The sequence below is a fragment of the Homo sapiens genome, chromosome 19 (genome assembly GCF_000001405.40).
Source record: "Homo sapiens chromosome 19, GRCh38.p14 Primary Assembly".
In the NCBI taxonomy this organism is placed as follows: domain Eukaryota; kingdom Metazoa; phylum Chordata; class Mammalia; order Primates; family Hominidae; genus Homo; species Homo sapiens.
Window position 1 is genome coordinate 28,542,002 of NC_000019.10, and position 19,716 is coordinate 28,561,717.

General features: G+C 43.9%; 1 pseudogene across 1 annotated transcript in view, besides 1 other annotated feature; it reads right to left on the reverse strand.

Annotated features, from left to right (window-relative positions):
• The window catches only part of LOC100420587 (SHC binding and spindle associated 1 pseudogene), a 292,307-nt pseudogene that overhangs the window by 106,614 nt on the left and 165,977 nt on the right, over positions 1-19,716 (reverse strand). The gene's annotated exons all lie outside the window — the stretch shown is intronic.
• Positions 3,396-3,602: a silencer, noted in NCBI's record as "fragment chr19:29036304-29036510 (GRCh37/hg19 assembly coordinates)". NCBI's record gives its function as "represses an EF-1alpha promoter that drives an FKBP-Casp9 reporter gene in an ReSE screen in K562 erythroleukemia cells {active_cell/tissue: K562}" and the evidence as "EXISTENCE:reporter gene assay evidence [ECO:0000049][PMID:32094911]".

The following is a 19,716-nucleotide window of genomic DNA, read 5'->3' on the forward strand; positions in this document are numbered from 1 at the left end:
ATAACCTTCAATTTCCCCTTTTGGAAAATGTGATACATGTATGCGACAGAATACTAGTCAGACATAAAAAAGAATGAAATAATATCTTTTGCAGCTACTTGGATGGAAATGGGGGTTATTATCCTGAGTAACTCAGGAATACAAAACCAAACCAAATCCTGCATGTCCTCACTTATAAGCGGGAGCTAAGCTATGGGTACACAAAGGCAGATGGGTATGATGGACATGGGAGACTCAGAAGGGGGAGGGTGGGAGAGGTCAGAGATAAAAACTACCTATGGGGTATGCTACATTATTTGGGTGACAGTGCACTAAAAGAACACACTTTACTGCTATACAATTTATCCATGTAACCATAAAACACCTGTACCCCTAAAAGCTATTGAAATAAAATTTAAAAAAGAAAAATGTTTTAAAAATTCCCCTTTTGCCCTTACATAGCTACAGGGAAGCTACTTAGAAGCGGAGGAAAGGACCCTACATTAGAAGTGTGTTTACACGTTTAGCTAAATGACCAGGAAGGCTCATGAAGGCAGCCTGATTACTACTTCATCTCAATGCAAGGCTCTTTTGCTTGTTTCCATTTTACTATTCCCTCGGTCTTTGAACGTTGTTTCTGCTCTCCCATGACAGGCAGCACACGATTGCAGTAGGTTTTCATCTTTGTTTATTACCATTTCCCCTACACCCTCACCGATTTCCCTCCCCTATTAAAAGATCTGGTTCTCTATGAGAAGCACAAGCCAGGCTAGGGCTGCATTAATAATTGATTTTCTACTTCTCTCTCAGCAAGCTATGGTGTTTGACTTTGAGGAGTGGCTTTTTATAAAGCCACAGTGTCCTTCCAGCACAATTTTGAGTTGCAATGATCTTTGGTAGGTGATTTCTTTTTTCTCTTATTGTTTAGCTATTAGCAGAGTAATAATGATCATAACATTTTCATCCTTTCAGATCTCGTACAGGGGATGACACCTGTGAAAGGGCCTTGAGCTTCTCTGATGACATCTTTGTAATTTTTTTGAGCTCCACCACAGCAGCTCCAGCTGCTCATTAACCCGCCACTGGTAATGAGGTTTCACTGATGCCTCTGGGGAGTCTGATTTGTCAGGGGGCAGCAAACTGTGGCCTGGACGACATGAGCTACGCCCCGTCCTTCCCCTGATGTGACAATGCTGACATTTTCATGGCTGAGATGGCTTGCGGCTCTCTCCCCAAGCCTGCACTGGATTCTTGTCACTCACCTGCATCATTCCAAACCATGCCCCATGCCCAGCACTGATTAAACACATTAGGCTACATTCATTCCTGAGAATACCATACAGACATTAGATATGACAAAGCATATCTACACTAGTAAGGCAGTAAAATAACCAAGGTCTATGAAGTGCAACAGAAAATTGCCTAACAACATGCACAGATGATCTCACTGAACCATATTACCTACCATTCATATATTACCACAGGCACAGAGAGCACCTGGAGAAACACAGTAGCAACTGCTCACAGTGACTACCCCGGGGTTGGGAAGGAAGGGGGGAAAGTTACAAGGAACTTTCCTCTTCTGGGTTTTGTGGGGTTTTTTTGTTTTTTGCTTTTTTTTTTTTTTTTTGAGATGGAGGTTTTCTTTGAGATGGTGCAACCTCGGCTCACTGCAACCTCTGCTTCCTGGGTTCAAGTGATTCTTCTCCCTCAGCCTCCCAAGTAGCTGGGATTACAGGCGCCCACCACCATGCCCAGCTAATTTTCTGTATTTTTAGTACAGACGGCGTTTTACCATGTTGGCCAGGCTGGTCTTGAACTCCTGACCTCAGTTGATCCACCCGCGTGAGCCTCCCAAAGTGCTGGGATGACAGGCGGGAACCACTGCACCCGGCCTTCTACTGGGTTTTGTAATGAGCATGTTTGTGGTGGAAATGTGTCAACTGCCTGTCCAGAGACAGTTGTGGTGGCTCACGCCTGTAATCCCAGTAACTTGGGAGGGTGAGGTGAGAGATCGTTTGAGCTCAGGAGTTTGAGACCAGCCTGAGCAATGTAGTAAGACACTGTCTCTACAGCTAAAAGAATAAATGAGTACATAAATAAAGAAATAAGCTGAATTCTGAGGAGGCTTTTACTCTCCATAAGACCACCTGAAGTCAACCCTAGCCCTCAAGCTGTTCAGCTACAGCAGCCAATACTTTCTGTTCCCTGAATCCACTTTGGCTGGGATTTCTTTCATTGGTGGTCACTGGTTTCACTAGGATTCCTTATATCCTGTTTCTTTGTTCCAGGCTCAGAACAAGGAGCACCTCCTCCTGGAAGCTTTTCCCCAAGGATCACTCCTAACGACTATGCCTATGCCCCTCAATTTGGCCCCACAAGATGAGCGGCTTCATGTTAGCCTCAGTTTCATTCACACAGATATGGTTTGTCTGGAAGAAACCAAATCTTTAAGGATAAGAGGTAATAATTAGCATAACAGAGAACATCTATTAGAAGCTTCCTAAGGGTCAAGCAATGAACTAAATGTTTTACATGGATAATTTTATTTCATTTTTATAACATCCTTAGGAGGTAGATATCATTAGTTTCCTTGTCTGTAAATAAGATAGTAAGTCCGAGAGATGGTAAATGGCACAATTACCTTTTTTATCGTGCTGCTCAGCAATGACCATTCCTTTCAGAAGGACCACCATGCCCCTCCTCTGTAAGCTGTTGCTGGAACTGACTGCCCCACAAGTTTAGAGGCAGAGCTTACAACCCTAGCCTGGCCAATCAATGACCCCCTTCCCCCAGTGACATATGATTGGCTCAGGTGGACATAGAATTGAAGTCAGTCCATTCAGAGTGGATCTCAGAACATTGCTAGAAAGGCTAGATTTGTGCCCAGAAGTAAATGCTGCAAAAAAAAAAAAAAATGCTAATGGCCATTTTGCATTTTGCATGACAAATGTCAGGAATTGGACAGTTCTTTAAGAAGCAAAGTCATCAAATGGAGAGAGATTCCATTCTGTCATACCATTTGAGCCATGGATCAAGCTATATCTTAAACCACATCTAGCCCTAAACTGTTCAGTTGCCTGAGACCCTCTGATAGGCACCAGCCCCCTTGGAGGCCTTTCTTTTATTTGACCTTTTGTGGATGGAAGCTGGGATGGGGGTGGGCAGGAGCCCAGTGACTATGTAAGCACAGGACTGGCTATAGAAATGGAATGAAATAGCCCTAAAGGATTCTTTATGAAGATTATGGAAGAGAAGTATATAAAAGAATTAGGAAGCAGAACAACAAAACCGTAAACAAAGATAGAAATACAGCTGGGCGCGGTGGCTCACACCTGTAATCCCAACACTTTGGGAGGCCGAGGCGGGCGGATCATGAGGTCAGGAGATCGAGACAAGCCTGGCCAACATGGTGAAACCCCGTCTCTACTAAAATACAAAAATAAAATAAAATAAAATCAAAATAAGCCAGGCGTGGTGGCGCCACCTGTAGTCTCAGCTACTCAGGAGGCTGAGGCAGGGGAATCACTTGAACCCGGGAGGTGGAGGCTGCAGTGAGCTGAGATCGTGCCACTGCACTCCAGCCTGGCAACAGAGCGAGATCAGTCTAAAAAAAAAAAAGATAGAAAAACAATCCTCCCCATGGACCTTAAACACAGGCCACATGCTCATGCTTCACACACATGACTGTGTGCACACACATATCACACAGTTCTCACTCTATCCCTCCTCCCTCCCTTCTCCCCTCTCTTTGTTTGAAAGTACCCAAAGGCCTTCTAACCATTTCCTTCATTTCACACGCAGATGATTTTATAATCTCATCTAAAAACTGTTGATATGAAACATAACAACAGAAATACAAACAGTGAATCTTGATGAGGTGAAAACAAGGTGAGAACAATAAAATAGCCAAACTGGAGAAGACTTTGATTCCAGCACAAACCCTTGATGCAGAAGATCTTACAGCCTTCAGTTAAATAACCTGTGTGGTTCTGAGGACACAGAGTACCATGAGGACGTGGACAATGATCTAGCCAGTCTGTGAAGGGCTCAGCTGTCACCCACCCAGAGACGCCATTAAGAGACCTGCTTTCAGGCGGCTGCAGGGAGCTCTGGACTGGGCTCCAGCCTGTGCCCCAACAGGCTTTAGCCACGCAAACTTAAACACACCTTAGAGCGTGTCTACAAAGGAAACCTGAGGTGACTGTTCATATAATTCTCTCCTGGAAGATGAACACGCTCCAAGCACACTGACCTGAATCACCCCCAGGCCCCTTTCACCTCATTAGGCCTTGAAGGAAACTGCAATCCTCAGCTGCTCCCACCTCACAGAAGCCTGTTACAGGGACTGGTACAAAAACAGAGAAGCGGCTTGGTCCGGAGAGCTCCTCTGCACAGGGCTGATAAAGGGAATCCAGGAGGCCACACATGACCTTTCCCCCAGGTCCTGCAACAAGAATAGTTTTTGAATCTGATCGTTGCAGCCAAAGTCAGGACACAGCAGAACAGCATCCCTCCCTTCCCACTCCCTGGCTTTGCTATGAGCTACAATATCGCACCTTTCCAAAGAAAAGGATATTGGTCATCCAGGGGAAGAAAAATGGAAATCTCAAGGAAAGTATTTCTCCAGAATTATCATTTCCTCTCTATCTAGTAAGCATCTTCTGTCCTGCACGCACGTGTACCAGCGGCCACGCTCTTCTCCTCAACACATATTCTCTTGGCTTCTGGGCCCTGTGCTCTTCCTTCCAGCTCTCTGGTCAGGCTTTCTCAGTCCATCCCTGGCTCCTCTTCCCCTCCCTGACCCTCACACCTGCTGTGGTCAGGGCCTCGTTCTGAGCCTTCCTCTCACGGCACACACCCTCCTCCATTGCCCTCCAAGTCATCTCCTTCTATAAGGCCTCTCTTCTAAGCTTATTATGTTCAAATAAGTGGTCTCCCTCAGCACTGGCATGTCGTGGGAAAACCACTGGGCTGGAACTCAAAAGACGTGCATGTGAGCCCAGATCCCCTGATATACACTGTGAAACCCAGAGAAAACTCACCTGCCCTGTGATGATCCAAACTGTCTTCTGTAAACTGATGCCAGGCCACAGGATTGTGTGAGGATAGTGACATCACATGGCTGGGTCCTTCGTAAAAGAAAAAGGCCAGCCCTGTGGGGGCTACTCTTTGCGGTGCCAGGTAGTGGGCCAGCAGCCCCTGATGAGGGAGGTCAGCTGCGGCCCTGTCCTGGGCAGGGGACATTCTGTGAACCAAGTGTTACAAGTTACCGTCACTACTGAAAGACTCCCCACCCTCCTCTTCCAAATAATTCTGAAAACATTTTGAAACAAATGATTTTGGAAGATAAAATATTTATGCAAAGAAGATATTTTAAAACCCCTTTCAGGCCAATTTTCTAAAATATTTCTCACGGGAAAAAATGCCTTTTGAGAAAGTTTCAGGCAAGATAGAGCTTGGACATAGGCTGTCTGTGCTAGAAGGTTCTTCATAGAAACCCTGTGAGCTGCAGAAGTCTCGATGTTAAACAAATAATTTTCCAGAAAACCCCATAACGTTAAATGGGTTAATGTGAGCACTAAAGGTATGCCAGGGTCCCTGGACCCCTCCTGCTTGCCCACTTCCTCACTCCTTTAGTTCTGGGAATCCCTGGGGAATTCTTGGTTTGGGCAAATGAAGTTTGCAAACATTGCTCTAACTTACTCTCTCCTTTGTTGAGTTAAGAAAGGAGAGACGACCAGCCAGGAACTGTGGCTCACGCCTGTAATCCCAGCACTTTGGGAGGCCAAGGTGGGAGGATCACGAGGTCAGGACCAGCCTGACCAATATGATGAAACCCCATCTCTGCTAAAAATACAAAAATTAGCTGGGTGTGGTGGCGTGTGCCTGTAGTCCCAGCTACACGGGAGGCTGAGGCAGAAGAATCGCTTGAACCCAGGAGGCGAAGTTTGCAGTGAGCAGGGATCGTGCCACTGCACTCCAGCCTGGGTGACAGAGTGAGACTCTGTCTCAAAAAAAAAAAAAAAAAAAAAAAAGAAAGAAAGGAGAGACGAGAAGGAAGGTGTGTCCGTGGCCATATCGACAGTGGCTCAGAACAGATCAGCTGCATCCTGGGCCACCAAGCTCACATGCTACCTGCTGGGGCAGCTGTAGGACCTCTAGCATGACAGTCACCTATGGACTTCTGGCAGGAGTGATGCCCATCTGTGACCCCAAATGCTTCTCAGTCCTCAAGGGACAGTGTTTGTTTAATGGCACAGGACACTCATGGATAGAGGGCAGAACCCAAGATTTTTGCTCAGAAGCAACAGAAAGAGAGGCTAGAGATTTATATGGAAGATGAGGACCAACTAAAACAACAGGAACCCCAAAGAACCAGACTCAGAAAAAGGCCACAGCCTTGTCAGGGTGCCAGAGATGCAGGGAATGACCTCCAACTCCTTCTTCTATCCTCTAATGACCCCTACTCAAATGCAAAGTTCTTGAGTCATAAGTTCGTCTCTATGCAGAGAGAAAACCTTGACTGACCATCCCACCAAGAAGGAAACCTTTAAATGTATTATGGAGTTGATGTATTTTTCTTTTCTTTTTTTTTTTTTTTTTTTTGAGTTGGAGTCTTACTCTGTCACCTAGGCTGGAGTGTGGTGGCATGATCTCGGCTCACTGCGACCTGCAACCTCCACCTCCCAGGTTCAAGTGACTTGACTGTCTCAGCCTCCTGAGTGGCTGGGACTACAGGTGTGCACCACCACGCCCCACTAATTTTTATATTTTCTAGTAGAGATGGGGTGTCACCATGTTGGCCAGGCTGGTCTCAAACTCCTGACCTCAACTGATCTGCCTGCCTTGGCCTCCCAAAGTGCTGGAATTAAGATGTGAGCCACTGCACCTGGCCATTATTTTTCACACTTACATATTAAAAAGTGCAATGGGGCTAGGAATGGAGGCTCACAACTGTATTCTCTGCACTTTGGGAGGCCAAGGTGGGAAGGTCACTTGAGCTCAGGAGTTCGAATCCAGGCTAAGCAACAAAAGGAGACCACGTCTCTACAAGAAAAAAAAAAAATCAGCTAGATGTGGTAGCATGTGCCTGCAATCCCAGTTACTTTTGCCTCCTTTATCAGAATGTTTCAGGCAAACATGCACTTGGCCATCGGAAATATTCCAATAATTTTCTGGTAGTTAACTTTCTTAAATTTCTTAACAGCCAGGAAACTTCTTTACTTTATTCTAATAATTTTCCCGTTGCTACAACCTGATAGTTAAGGAAGTTCAAATACCTTCTGGAATCTAGGAATCCATTTTTGCCTCAGTAGATGTAATGACTGCATGAAACTGTTGGCGAATGACATTCTCTGAGTGTGGACTCCACGTCAATGCTGTTCCAGGTGCTTTGCCCATGTTGACTCCATGAATCCACTCAACATGCTGGTTTCTTATCCTCATTTTGCAGATGAGGGAACTGAGGCACAGAGTGTAAGTCACTTGCCCACAGTCCCAGAGGATGTAAATGGCAGAGGCAGGATTCAAGCCTGACAGTCTTGGCTCTGGAGCCTTCGTGCTTAGCCACTCTTTATCCCCAAATCGCTGTCAACCAAGGTGAGCAGCGACCAAAATTTGACAAGCCTGAAACCACTGCTTGTTGCCCCCGACCTAGGACCAGCTAGACCACAGTTACTGCTGCTCTGAAGACAACACTGTCACTTCACACCTGCTCAGGGCCCTTCTTGGCACTGATGAATAAACCCAGCCTGGGGTCCGAGAAATGGGCAGTGCAGCTCTGAAGACACGCCCGAAGTTCTCTGTCCCGAGGGAGGACCTGGAGCCGCTGTCCCAGAAGCGTGTTCCTGATGGAAGGCACTCATAGGCTCTCTGCAGGGGAGACCTGCCAGTTCTGTTTTTATTGATTTTCACTTTGCAAAAAAGCCTCTTAAATCAAATCAAACTCACTAGGAAATGTGGGAGGTTGCAGGCGCACTGCCCTTTGTTTGTCTCTAGTGCTTTAAAGGTGTGTCCTTTCTTCTAAGTGGCTCAGGAGGCCAAAAGCTGTCCTGAAAGCATACCTCAACTTCCTGCCTTCACCTCTGTCAACCTTAAGGCAATTCTTGATGCATTTGATGTTGTTGTTTCCTGCCAGCCACAAGTCCATGAACTCCTAGGACTCTAAGACAAACAGTGCTGCTGCTGCATTTCTTTCCTTGGCTGTCTGCCCTCTCTGCTGCAGTCTAACCTGAGGGGGAAAGGGATTTGTGGTTCCAAAGACAGGGTCCAACTGAAGGAAAAGGCATCCCAAGCAGAGGGGTCAGCATGGTCGCCTGAGATGCATGCCTGGGTTCCTGGCCCTCTCCTTGGCATCCTAAGCAGAGGGGTCAGCATGGTCACCTAAGATGCGTGCCCAGGTTCCTGGCCCTCTCCTCGGCATGGTCGCCTGAGATGCATGCCCGGGTTCCTGGCCCTCTCCTCGGCATCCTAAGCAGAGGGGTCAGCATGGTCGCCTAAGATGCGTGCCCAGATTCCTGGCCCTCTCCTTGGCATGGTCGCCTGAGATGTGTGCCCGGGTCCCTGGCCCTCTCCTCGGCGTCCCAAGCAGAGGGGTCAGCATGGTCGCCTGAGATGTGTGCCCGGGTCCCTGGCCCTCTCCTCGGCGTCCCAAGCAGAGGGGTCAGCATGGTCGCCTGAGATGTGTGCCCGGGTTCCTGGCCCTCTCCCCGGTGTCCTTTAGTGCTGAAATGTCACTTACTCAGAAAGGTCTTTTCTAGATTTCCACTGTAAGCCAAAAATAAAATTCTGAGCCCCTCAAATGACCGAATGTATCTCCCTTTTGACCAAGGGAATCCCAGAGAAATCTGGAAAACTAGTCCAGGCCATGATGGAAAAAGGGCATCAGACATGCCTAGCTTTGGAGTTTAGGTATAACCGACAAGCATGAACACTGAAACAGAGATATTAAGACTGACAAAATAGACTGCAGCAATAAGACACTGAATTCCGACCTGACTGTGGCAGAGCATCGCATGACAGATAACAGATATCAAAGTTTCTTACCCCCAAAAATGTTTCTCTGACATAGTCTGAAATGTTCCTGAAAAGCTGTCTCTTGTGGGGGAAATTTGCATTCTGTAGAGAATCTCCTTCCCTTAGTAGGTTTTTTTTTTTTTTGGAGAGTCTGACACCTTTTTTTTTTTAGACAGTGTCTCACTCTTGTTGCCCAGGCTGGAGTGCAATGGCACAATCTCTGCTCACTGCAACCTCTGCCTCCTGGGTTCAAGTGATTCTCCTGCCTCAGTCTTCCAAGTAGCTTCAATTACAGGTGCCCGCCACCACGTCCAGCTAATTTTTTATATTTTTAGTAGAGACGGGGTTTCATCATGTTGGCCAGGCTGGTCTCAAACTCCTACCTCAGGTGATCCAGCCGCCTCAGCCTCCCAAACTGCTGGGATTACAGGCGTGAGCCACCGTGCCCGGCCCAAGTCTGATATCTTTTAATGTCCAATAAGAGAAATTTACCATCTATTCTCTGTGATGGCTGCTACCTGGAGGCTTAATCCACATGACAAGAACCTGGGCTTTCACAACCCCCTTATTTATATTTGAGCATTTATTTCTGCTGACCTCAAACTCTTCAGGCAAGGCTTAATTCTTTCAACCAATTGCCAACCAGGAATCTTTGACTCCACCTATGACCTGGAAGCCCCTGGCTTCCAAAAGTCCACCTTTCCAGGCCAAACAATGTGTATCTTCCATGTATTGACTTATGTCTTTGCCTGTAACTTCTATCTCCCTAAAACGTATAAAACCAAGCTGTAACACAGCCATCTTGTGCACATGTTCTCAGGACCTCCTGAGGCTGTGTCCAAAGCCCCTGGGCCTTAACCTTTTGGTAAAATAAACCTCTAAATTGATTGAGACCTGTCTCAGTTACTTTCTGGTTTTCACACTCAAAAAATGCCGTATCTTTATGATCTTAAGGTAAGTAAAAATATTTAAACAGGGCACACACATGAAACATATAAGACAAACTCGACAAACTGGTCTATATTAAAAATAAGAACTTCTGTTTATCGAAAGAGATCATTAGGAGAGTGCAAACAGCAAGCATGAGAGCAGAGTGTATACTCATTATACACATGGCAACAAAGGCCTCAGGGCCAGAATGTGTCAACCAGAAATAATAACATCCTCCCCATGTACCTCAAATTCCATGATGAATGTGGACAGATTTTGAAACCTACAAAATGCTTCATCAGTATAAGGAATGACATGCTTGGTCTTCTTGGTGGGTCACTGCAACAGTCCCAGATGGAGCCGAGGCAGTCTCTCCCTTTCGCATGGCAAAACCAGGGATCGCCACCCTCCCACCTATGCCCATTACCTACAAGATGCCACCCAGGGTCCTTGGCATGTCTTTTACAGACCTTCATCCTTTAGTCCTTGCTGTCATCTCTCCCCTTATCCTCACCATTGGCCCCATCCATGCTGAGCTCCAGCCCCCCTGAGTTGCTTTGCCCCGATTACACCACACTCATTAACATCCCTGGGCCTTCCGCAAGCTCTTTCCTCTTCCCAAGATACTCTTTCCTCCCTGCACTGGCAAGCCACCACACTCAGCTGAGGATTTCAGGGGTTCAACACCACAGCTGCTTTGTGGCCTGCTTTAGAGAACCATACAGACAGGGACTGTATACCAAACACGTCAGCCCCACTCCTTGGTCTTGGGAATGGATACAAAGAAAGCAGAGATGCCACCGAAAGAAAGGAAAAAAAAAATAAAAAAAGCCTGGCAGGGAAGTTCCAGATGATGTTGTGTGAGAGGGTGGTCTCTCAGAATAATCCCAGCAGACGCACATGCACTTCCTGCCTTTCCTATGAGACTTCCCTGTGAGACTGTGACACAGCCCCGAATCCTGGCTTTGGCAGCTGACAGACATGGGTCCAAGTCCAAGCTCTGCCAGTTACTAGATAAATGACCTTGAGCAAATTACTCCAGCTCCCTCAGTTTCCCCATCGATCACTTGGGGTAACAAAGCCAACCCTGCCACTACAGACATCAGACTAAGCCACTCTTGTGGTTTGAAGATGGTGAGGGGAATCTGTTGGATTCTAGTTGAGCACGCTGATGACTCATCAGTTCAAATATCACGTGGCTTTCCTATTTCCCGTGTCAGTTGCAGGGCCTCTAAAATGGCTGTGACTTCCATCATATGCCCCATTCGTGGCTGTCCCCAGGCACTGGAAACACCCTACCTTCATCTGCTGTGCCAGGCATGCCGGCCTCCCCCAGGCTTTTCAGAGACTCTGAAGATTTCCCAGGCATGAACACCTTGCACATCCCAGACACAGCCCATTGCTTGCAGCAGATGTAGCATCAAACACCCTTTGTGATTCTGAGGATCATAAAAAACATTACCCAAAAAGTTTCCTTTTAAATACCAATGGTTTTCTCTGCCATGCCACCCAGATTTCAACCGTATGCAGCTTCATGCTAAGAGCTTCACTGAAAGTAAATGAAAGGGACAGCTTTAGAGTTGGCTGAAGACTGTTTGTTTGAAGGGAGACTGTATAAGCTGGTATAATGTTTAATTCTGGATGTCTGGTGGAGAGATCTCTTAGTAGCTATGGGAAGAAAAAATAGATAGGTATTTAAGGGTTTTGAACTTGGGAACAGAGTGGAGATAAACGGGCAAATGTGCTTTGGATAAGTCCAAAGTGACATGTTTGAATACACACACACACACACACAAACACACACACACACACAAAGTTATACTGAAGATTATAGCTGAAGATTCCTAAACAAGTCTAAAGCAAGCCTTTCTTAAAGAAGTGTACAGTTGGGATATATAACTGCTATAACAAAACTCAAGATTTCAACAGCTTAACACAATAAAAAATGGTATCCCTCCTCAGATCACAGTGGTTGAGCCACTCTCCTGGACAGCCCTCCTCCATGTGATGACACAAGTGCCCAAGTTCCTTCTGTCTTGCAGTTCTGCCTTGCTTGGACCTTCCACATCTACCCCATGAACCCACTGGAAAGGGAAGGCAAATGAGAGTTTGGGAGGTTCCATATGCAGGGCCTACGGGAGCCCATGACACTTCTGCCCACATTTCACAGACCCCATCTCACGGCAGCAGTCAGACATGAGTCCCCTGTGTACCTGGGCTTGGTGAACACATAACCGTCTCCGTCACTAGAATCACTAGAAGCATTCAAGCTACCAAAAATATTTCCCTTATCATTTGATGTCTAACCTTCACTGACCTTTTAACAAACCTGTTGAACATCTGCCCTGGGCCAAGCATGTTAGGGCAGGAGACCAGAGAAACACATGTGCATGTGAGAAGGGGCGGCACAGGAGTTTGGGGCCCAGGCTCTGAAGTTGGAATCCACAGGCTCAAATTCTGCCTCCATCCCTTTTTAAGCAAAATAATACCATGGGCAATCAATCTAATCTCTCTGTGTCTCTATTTTCTCATGGGTTTAGTGGAGACAATAGTGTTTATATCACAGATGATGGTGAGAACCAAACAGGAAAATACAAACAGGGTGTAAGCCCTGCCCAGAACTCCACAGTCCTACCTCCTCCTCCTGAGACCAAGGGATCCCCGCAGGTGGTGAGGGGTTTGCATGTTTGTTTTACCTTTAAAGGTGGGGAAGAAAAGCTTCCTCCAGGATGCTGGGCTATCCTAGAGACAGCTGGGCCAGGCCCTCCTAAGGCCAGCATGCAAAGGCCACAGTGAGGGGCCCTGTGTAAGTCACATATATCCAACTGGTTACCAGTTACCAACCAGTTATTATACCCCCAATCCACAGGCTTAGAAGCCCTGCTACCATTACCTGGAGAAGACTGCCCTACCCTGCTCCTCTCCACATGGGTGTCAGCCAGGATGCCCTGGCCCTGCCTCTCCTACAGCTTCTCTCCCCATGCCAGAAGCAGGCAGCCTGTAAATGTTAAGGCTCATCTTAGGATAGAGCTGCCCAGGTGGGCAACCGGCAGGACAGGCTTTCCCCTCAAGGACGAAGACAGCCTGGGAGGAAGGAATGGCAGCCATTCTCCTGCCTGCCTGGCCCAGGAAGCCCTGTGGTAGGAACCCACATAGACAAACTGAGTTCTCCTGTGGTTTTTCTCTGTCCATCAGGGAAAATGCCATTTTAGTTATTGTTGTTATCCACGCTATTAGCATAGGAAAAGGATAACATTTTTAACAATAACAACCACATGTAAAGCACTTTATAATTTTCAAATGATTTATGCCAGCATAGCGGCTTCATTCCTTGAAGCAAGATGTAACAGGCTGGGAATTTATGCACCAGACATTTTAAGTTTCCTCAGCAGAGGTGTCAGTGACTTGCCCAGGGGCCCTGGACAGAACTGCAAATAAGGGCTGCTGACTCTTCTGACCAAGGGCGGAATCAGGGCCAGAAGGGATATTTGGCCTCAGTATGGACTACTTCATCAGACAAATTTTTTCTGGTCCTTATATCCTTTCCACTCTCAGCACAGCTGTCCCTCAAGATCACAGATAAAAGGCACTGTCAACGCACTATTAGACACCAGGGGAGAAGTCAGTGCAAGAAGGTCAGGAATGAGGCTCTGGGGTCAAAGTAAATCAGGCCAAAGGACAATAGACATTGAACCTACCACCCTACCCGCTTCCCATCCCAAACGGATAATGAGAAAGTTGAATTAGGATAACCCTGGGTTCCTGATTCCAGCCAAACCTCGATCCCTTAACTCAGCCAAGTGCTACACTGAGTGCCAGGGACAGGGGCATAAGAGGACTGGGGGAGGCCTCAGCCCTGCCCCCAGGGAACTTGCAGTCTAGCACCGACTTTCTATTCCTGTGTCTATCATCAACGTTCCTCCCCAAATTTCCACAAACATCCAATCAAAATGTGCTAAGCTGTAAAACCTTAAGTAGAAATTTGCTCCTAATAGAGTCTGGAAATTTTGATATTGCCCTCAGCGCAGTCAGGCAGGAAATAGGAGGCTACATGGAGATGGAAGGTGGCTTGTGCGAGTTAACTAAGGAGCCGACTTGGCGCTTCTGATTTTCTGCAGGGACAAAACATCAGGTATCAGGGACCTTTAGATACACATGAGAGAAACCCTACCCCAAGGTGGGCCTTGCTGCCTCCTACAACGGAGGAGCCTGGAGGCATGCCGGCTTCAGGCACAGTGGGATGGAAGAGCATGTGTGTGTTTCAGGGAAGCCTCCTCTGTCTCTCCTCCCCATTGGCTCCCCTCTGAAGCAGACCCTCCTCAGTGGTGGCAGCAACTCCAGGGCACCCAACCTGTGCTGTTCCAGCAAAGTAGAAAAAAAACAAGAGTTTCTCTCCTAGAATTCCCAGCAAAACCTGGTGGCATCTTATTGGTCATAACTGGGTCATGTGCTAACTCCAGAATCAATCAAGGAGGGCAAGGGAGTGGGATGTGAGGACTGCCTCACACCCACCAGCCAGGCTCCCACTTCCCAGAACCTGAGAAGGGGTCACATGATCCAGACACAAGGAACAGTGTGGTCTCCCAGGGACCTCAGAGGTGCCTGAGCAGAGGCCACATGTCAGATATGTGGTGCTTACCCAAGGGGCAGGGTCTTCACCCATTCTAATGTGTAATCCTCTGAGTGCAAGGACTCTCTGAAAGTCTTGGCACACATCCAAAACCTTTCAGGGTTGTTGTAAAGAACCATTACAGCTGCAGGCAGCAAAACCCCTGAAAGAGGGCACATGGCAGGTTGGCAGCTCCCCTCCTATTCCTCTCCAGAGCAGGAACCCCATTTCATCTTCCAATGGAAGAGAATGCTGCAGGACCCCCATCTCCCCCCACAGCCTTCCCTGCTTATCAAACACATCATACAGCCATCTCTAAAAAGTCCACAAAACCCAATACACATCCAAGAAAATAATAATTAGATATCTGAATGCTGGGCTGAGTCTAAATGAGTCACATAGGTCTTGTTTGCATCACACAAAATAAAGTTAACTGTCTCAAAATAGAGAGGAAGAAAAAAAAAAGTTTGTGACATCTTTTCTTCTGGCAGCAGCCAAATATGATGAGCAAGTAATAAAACAATTCCATTTAAATTGCACCTGCTCTCAACTCCCTCGCCCTCTGTGCAAAGCAGATTACATTGTCTTGTTTTTTTTTTCTAAATCAATGCCCTGACTATAATGATGTTATGGAGTATTAATTAATCCTGATGATCACTGGGAGCCTAATCCTTAAGGCTGCTGGAGTTGGACCATTTCCTCCTATCCTGAAGGCCAAGTCCTTGCAAGAAGTCAAAGCCCATTGAAAGGATTAAATCAATTGTTGAAGCAGTGAGATGGTGGGGTTCACCAATTTTCTTTTCATGGAGGAAGATTCTGGAGAGAGGTAGTGAAACAGATGAGTCCTGGCCAGAAGGCCCCCAATTGCTAAACGTTAGCATGCAACTTTCTTTGGAACTCAGAACAAACAATCTCTCTCAACAGTTCTCTGCAATATATCTCTGCACGGCCCTTCAGCAATATATCAAGTGATTTCTCAGTGTGTTTTAAAAATAATTGAATCCAGGCATATTTTCACTTCAGTCTCAAAGTCTCATGGTAATCTCAACACAAATGCCAGATCAAGTCTAACATGAATGATTGCTGAATCTATTTTTTGTCATTATTTAAAATAATATTTGACAGCACCTTGCTGGGTGAGGAAAGGCATACATAGATATTTGGCTACCTCTGGTAAGTACACATTAGATATACAGGTGCTCAATCATTTTGCTGGGAGTTTCAACTGGCATAATGCTTTTGACGGCCACTTGGCAAATGCCAGCATTTTAAAATGCATTAACCCTTTGACCTGGTACCTTTGTTTCAAGAAATTTATACCCCAGATATTCTTGTAGGTATGCAGAAAAATAGTCTATACAAGGATATTTACTGTAACATCAATGTCTGCAGAGGCAAAAGACAAAGCATCCTAAATACCCATTACTGGGGGAGGTGTTAAATAAATCATAGTGCATCTAAACAATAATATATTTTACAGACATTAGAAACAAACAGTCTGCTTTGTATGTATGGATTTAGAACAAATTCTAAGATGTGCAACTAAATAAAACAGCAGGGTAAATAACTGTGTATAGGATGCTATCATTTGTCATGGGGAAAAGAAGGTAACTCATATACATTTATGCTTGTCAATATAGAGACAGTCTCTGAAAAGATTCACTAGGAACTATTTACTTGTGAAATCTTTGTCTTCTGATGGAGAAAGTAAAGAGACCCGGGGACTTGATCCAGGAAGATTTGCTTTTCACTCTATACCCTCATGTGCAGTGTGAGCTACCTGTTGAAAAGCCTAATTTAAACAAAGTAAAACAAACATAAAAATTACTGTTTTATTGAAAAATATCAATACATGTTCACTATAGAGAAATAATAAAATAGAGATAAACAAAAGAAAAGAAAAATTGGCCAAAGAGAATCCTTTCATATCCTTCCAGGCATGATTCCAAAAATTCTGAAAATGGTTTCATACTCTTCCAAAACTATTTCTATGCACTTTTAAACAAAAAGGGGATTATACTGGTAATAACATGTTTACATTATAGTTTTATTAAGAGAATTAAACAAGTGAGTAAAGATATAAACATGCTATTATCTGCTCCACACTGTCCTAAGTGACATAAATATAAACATACATATTTATAAGTATAAATGTATAACAGTAATTGGCTTTGTAAATTTTTTTCGCTTAAAACATTGCAAACAACTTTTAATGTTAGTAAATATTCATCTAAAACATCATTTTTAAGCGAATAAACTTTATTTTTCAGAGGAGTTTCAGGTTTATAGGAAAATCAAGAGGAAAATACAGTCTTCATATACCCCCTGTCTCCACACACACAACCTCCTCACTATCAAAATTCCCCACCATAGGGGTGCATCTGTGTTAATTGATGGACCTACACTGACACATCATTATCACCTAAAGTCCATGTTTACATTAGGGTTTCTCTTGGTGGTGTACATTCTGTGGGTTTTGACAAAAGTATGATGACATGTATCCACCACTGTAGTATCACACAGAATAGTTACACTGCCCTAAAAATCCTGGGTTCGTCTATTCATTCTTCCCTCCCTCCTAACTCCTGGATATCACTGATCTTTTTACTGACTCCAGAGTTTTTTCTTTTTCAGAATATCATATAGTTAAGTGATGCAGTATGTTGCCTTTTCAGATTTGCCTTTTTCATTTAGTAATGTGCATTCTCTTAGTAATATTCACTTAGTAATATCCACGCCTTTTCATGGTCTGATAGCTCATTTCATTTTGGCACCGAATAATATTCCATTTTCTGAATGTACCACACAGTTTATTTGTCCATTCACCTACTGAAGGACATTCTTGATTGCTTCCATGTTTCAGCGATTATGAATAAAGCTGCTATAAACATCCATGTACAATTTTTTGTTTGAATGTAAGTTTCTATCTCCCTTGGGCAAATACCAAGCAGTATGATTGCTGAATTATAGGTTTTGTTTTATAAGAAACTGTCAATCTGTCTTCCAAAGTAGCTGTACACTTTGCATTCCAACCAGCAATGAATGAGAATTCTGGTTGTTCCATGTAATCACCAGAATTTGTTGATGTCAGTGTTTTCAATTTTGGCCCTCCTAACAGGTGGGCAGTGGTATCTCAATGTTTTAGCTTGAAATTCTCTAGTAACATATAATATTGAACATCTTTTTATATGATTACTTGCCATCTGTAAATATTACTGGGTGAGATGTCTATTCAGGTCATTTTCCTAGGTTTAAATTGGCTGTTACTTTTTTTATTATTGAATTTTAAGAGTTTTTTGTATATTTTGGATAAAAGTCCTTTATGAGATATGTCTTTTGATAATATTTTCTATCTATGGCTTGGCTTCTCATTCTCTTTACATTGTCTTCCATAGAGCAGAAGTTTTTAATTTTAATCAAGCTCAAGTTATCAATTATTTCTTTCATGGATCATACCTTCAGTGTCATATCTAAAAAGCCATCACCATACCCAAGCTTACCTAGATATTCTCCTATGTTATTTTCTATGAGTTTTATAATTTTGTGTTTTACATTTAGGTTTATAATCCATTTTAATTTTTGTGAAGGGTGTAAGCAGATAGTGTCCAGATTCATTTCTTTTGCATGTGGATGTATAATTGTTCCAGCACCAATTGTTGAAAAGACTATCTTGACTCCACTGTATTGTCTTTGCTTCGTCAAAGATCAATTGATTCTATTTATGTGGGTCTATTTCTGGGCTATTTTTTCTGTTGATCTACTTGTCTATTCTTTTACCAAACCATACTGTCTTAATTACTGTAGCTTTACACTAAGTCTTGAATCCAGAGAGATGGCCTCCATATTACTTTAAAATCAGTTTGTTGATATCCAGAGAATAACTTGTTGAGATTTTTATCCAAATTTCATTTAATCTATATATGAGTTGGGAAGAACTGACATCTTGACAATGTTGACTCTTTTCATTCATAAATATGGAATATCTCTCCATTTATTTAGCTCTTTGATATCTTTCATGAGTCTTGTAATTTTTCTTGTATAGATCTTATACATATTTTGTTGGATTTTTCCTAAGTATTTTCAATTTTCAGGGTACTAATGTAAATGGCACTGTGTTTTTAATTTCAAATTTTACTTGTTCATTGCTGGTATATAGAAATGCAATTGACTTTTGCATATTAACCTTGAATCCTGAAACCTTACTATAATTGCTTATTCCAAGAGTATTCTTGCCAAATCTTTTAGATTTTTCTACGGAGAGGATTATACTCTGCAAACAAAGACAGCTGTATTTTTTTTTCTTACCAATGTGTATTGTATACTTTTTGTGTTTTTTTTTCCTGTCTTATGTTTAGCTGCACTTTCAGTACAATGTTAAAAAAAAGGTGGTAACATTCTTTGCCTTGTTCCTGATCCTACAGGAAAAATTTTGAGTTTCTCACCACTAGGTGGGCTGTATTTCTTTTACTCGTTTAGTGGTTGTCCTAGAGTTTTCGATATACATTTACGACTACTCCAAGCCTACTTTCTGATAACTCTGTAGCACTTCACAAAGTGCAGGTGCTTTATAATAACAAAATATTCTTAATTCCTCCCTCTACCCCTTGATACACATTTTGTAGTTGTCTCACAGTTTTTAGACACTCTGTTCTGTTTTTTTTTTTTTTCCTCAGTCTTTTTTTTCTGTTTGCTTTTGAGTTTTGGCAGTTTCTACTGTTATATACTCAAACTCAAAGAATCTTTCCTCAGCTTATATTATCCATCTGTTCTTGCATGTTATGTACTTTTTCATTAATACCCTTAGCATATTACTTATGTACATATTTGTAAAGTTCCTGGGCTGATAATTCCAACACTCTTGCCATACCAGACTCTGATTCTGGTGCTTGCTCAGTTTCTTCAAACCGTGTTTTTGCCTTGTCGTATGCCCTGTAATTTTTGTTGCAAGGTGGACATGGTATACTTGGTACAGGAACTGAGGTGCACAGATGTTTAGTACTGCAATGGCAAGGTGTGTGGAGAGAAAAACATCCTGTGATAAAGTCAGCTTTTCACTTGTTATTAGAACAAAGTGGAGACTTCTGAGCTCCAACCTGCCAGACAATAAACCAGAAGTCTGAAAAGCAGCATTTTAAATTTACATACTATACTTTATCCCCTTCTTTTATGTGTAATGTAAT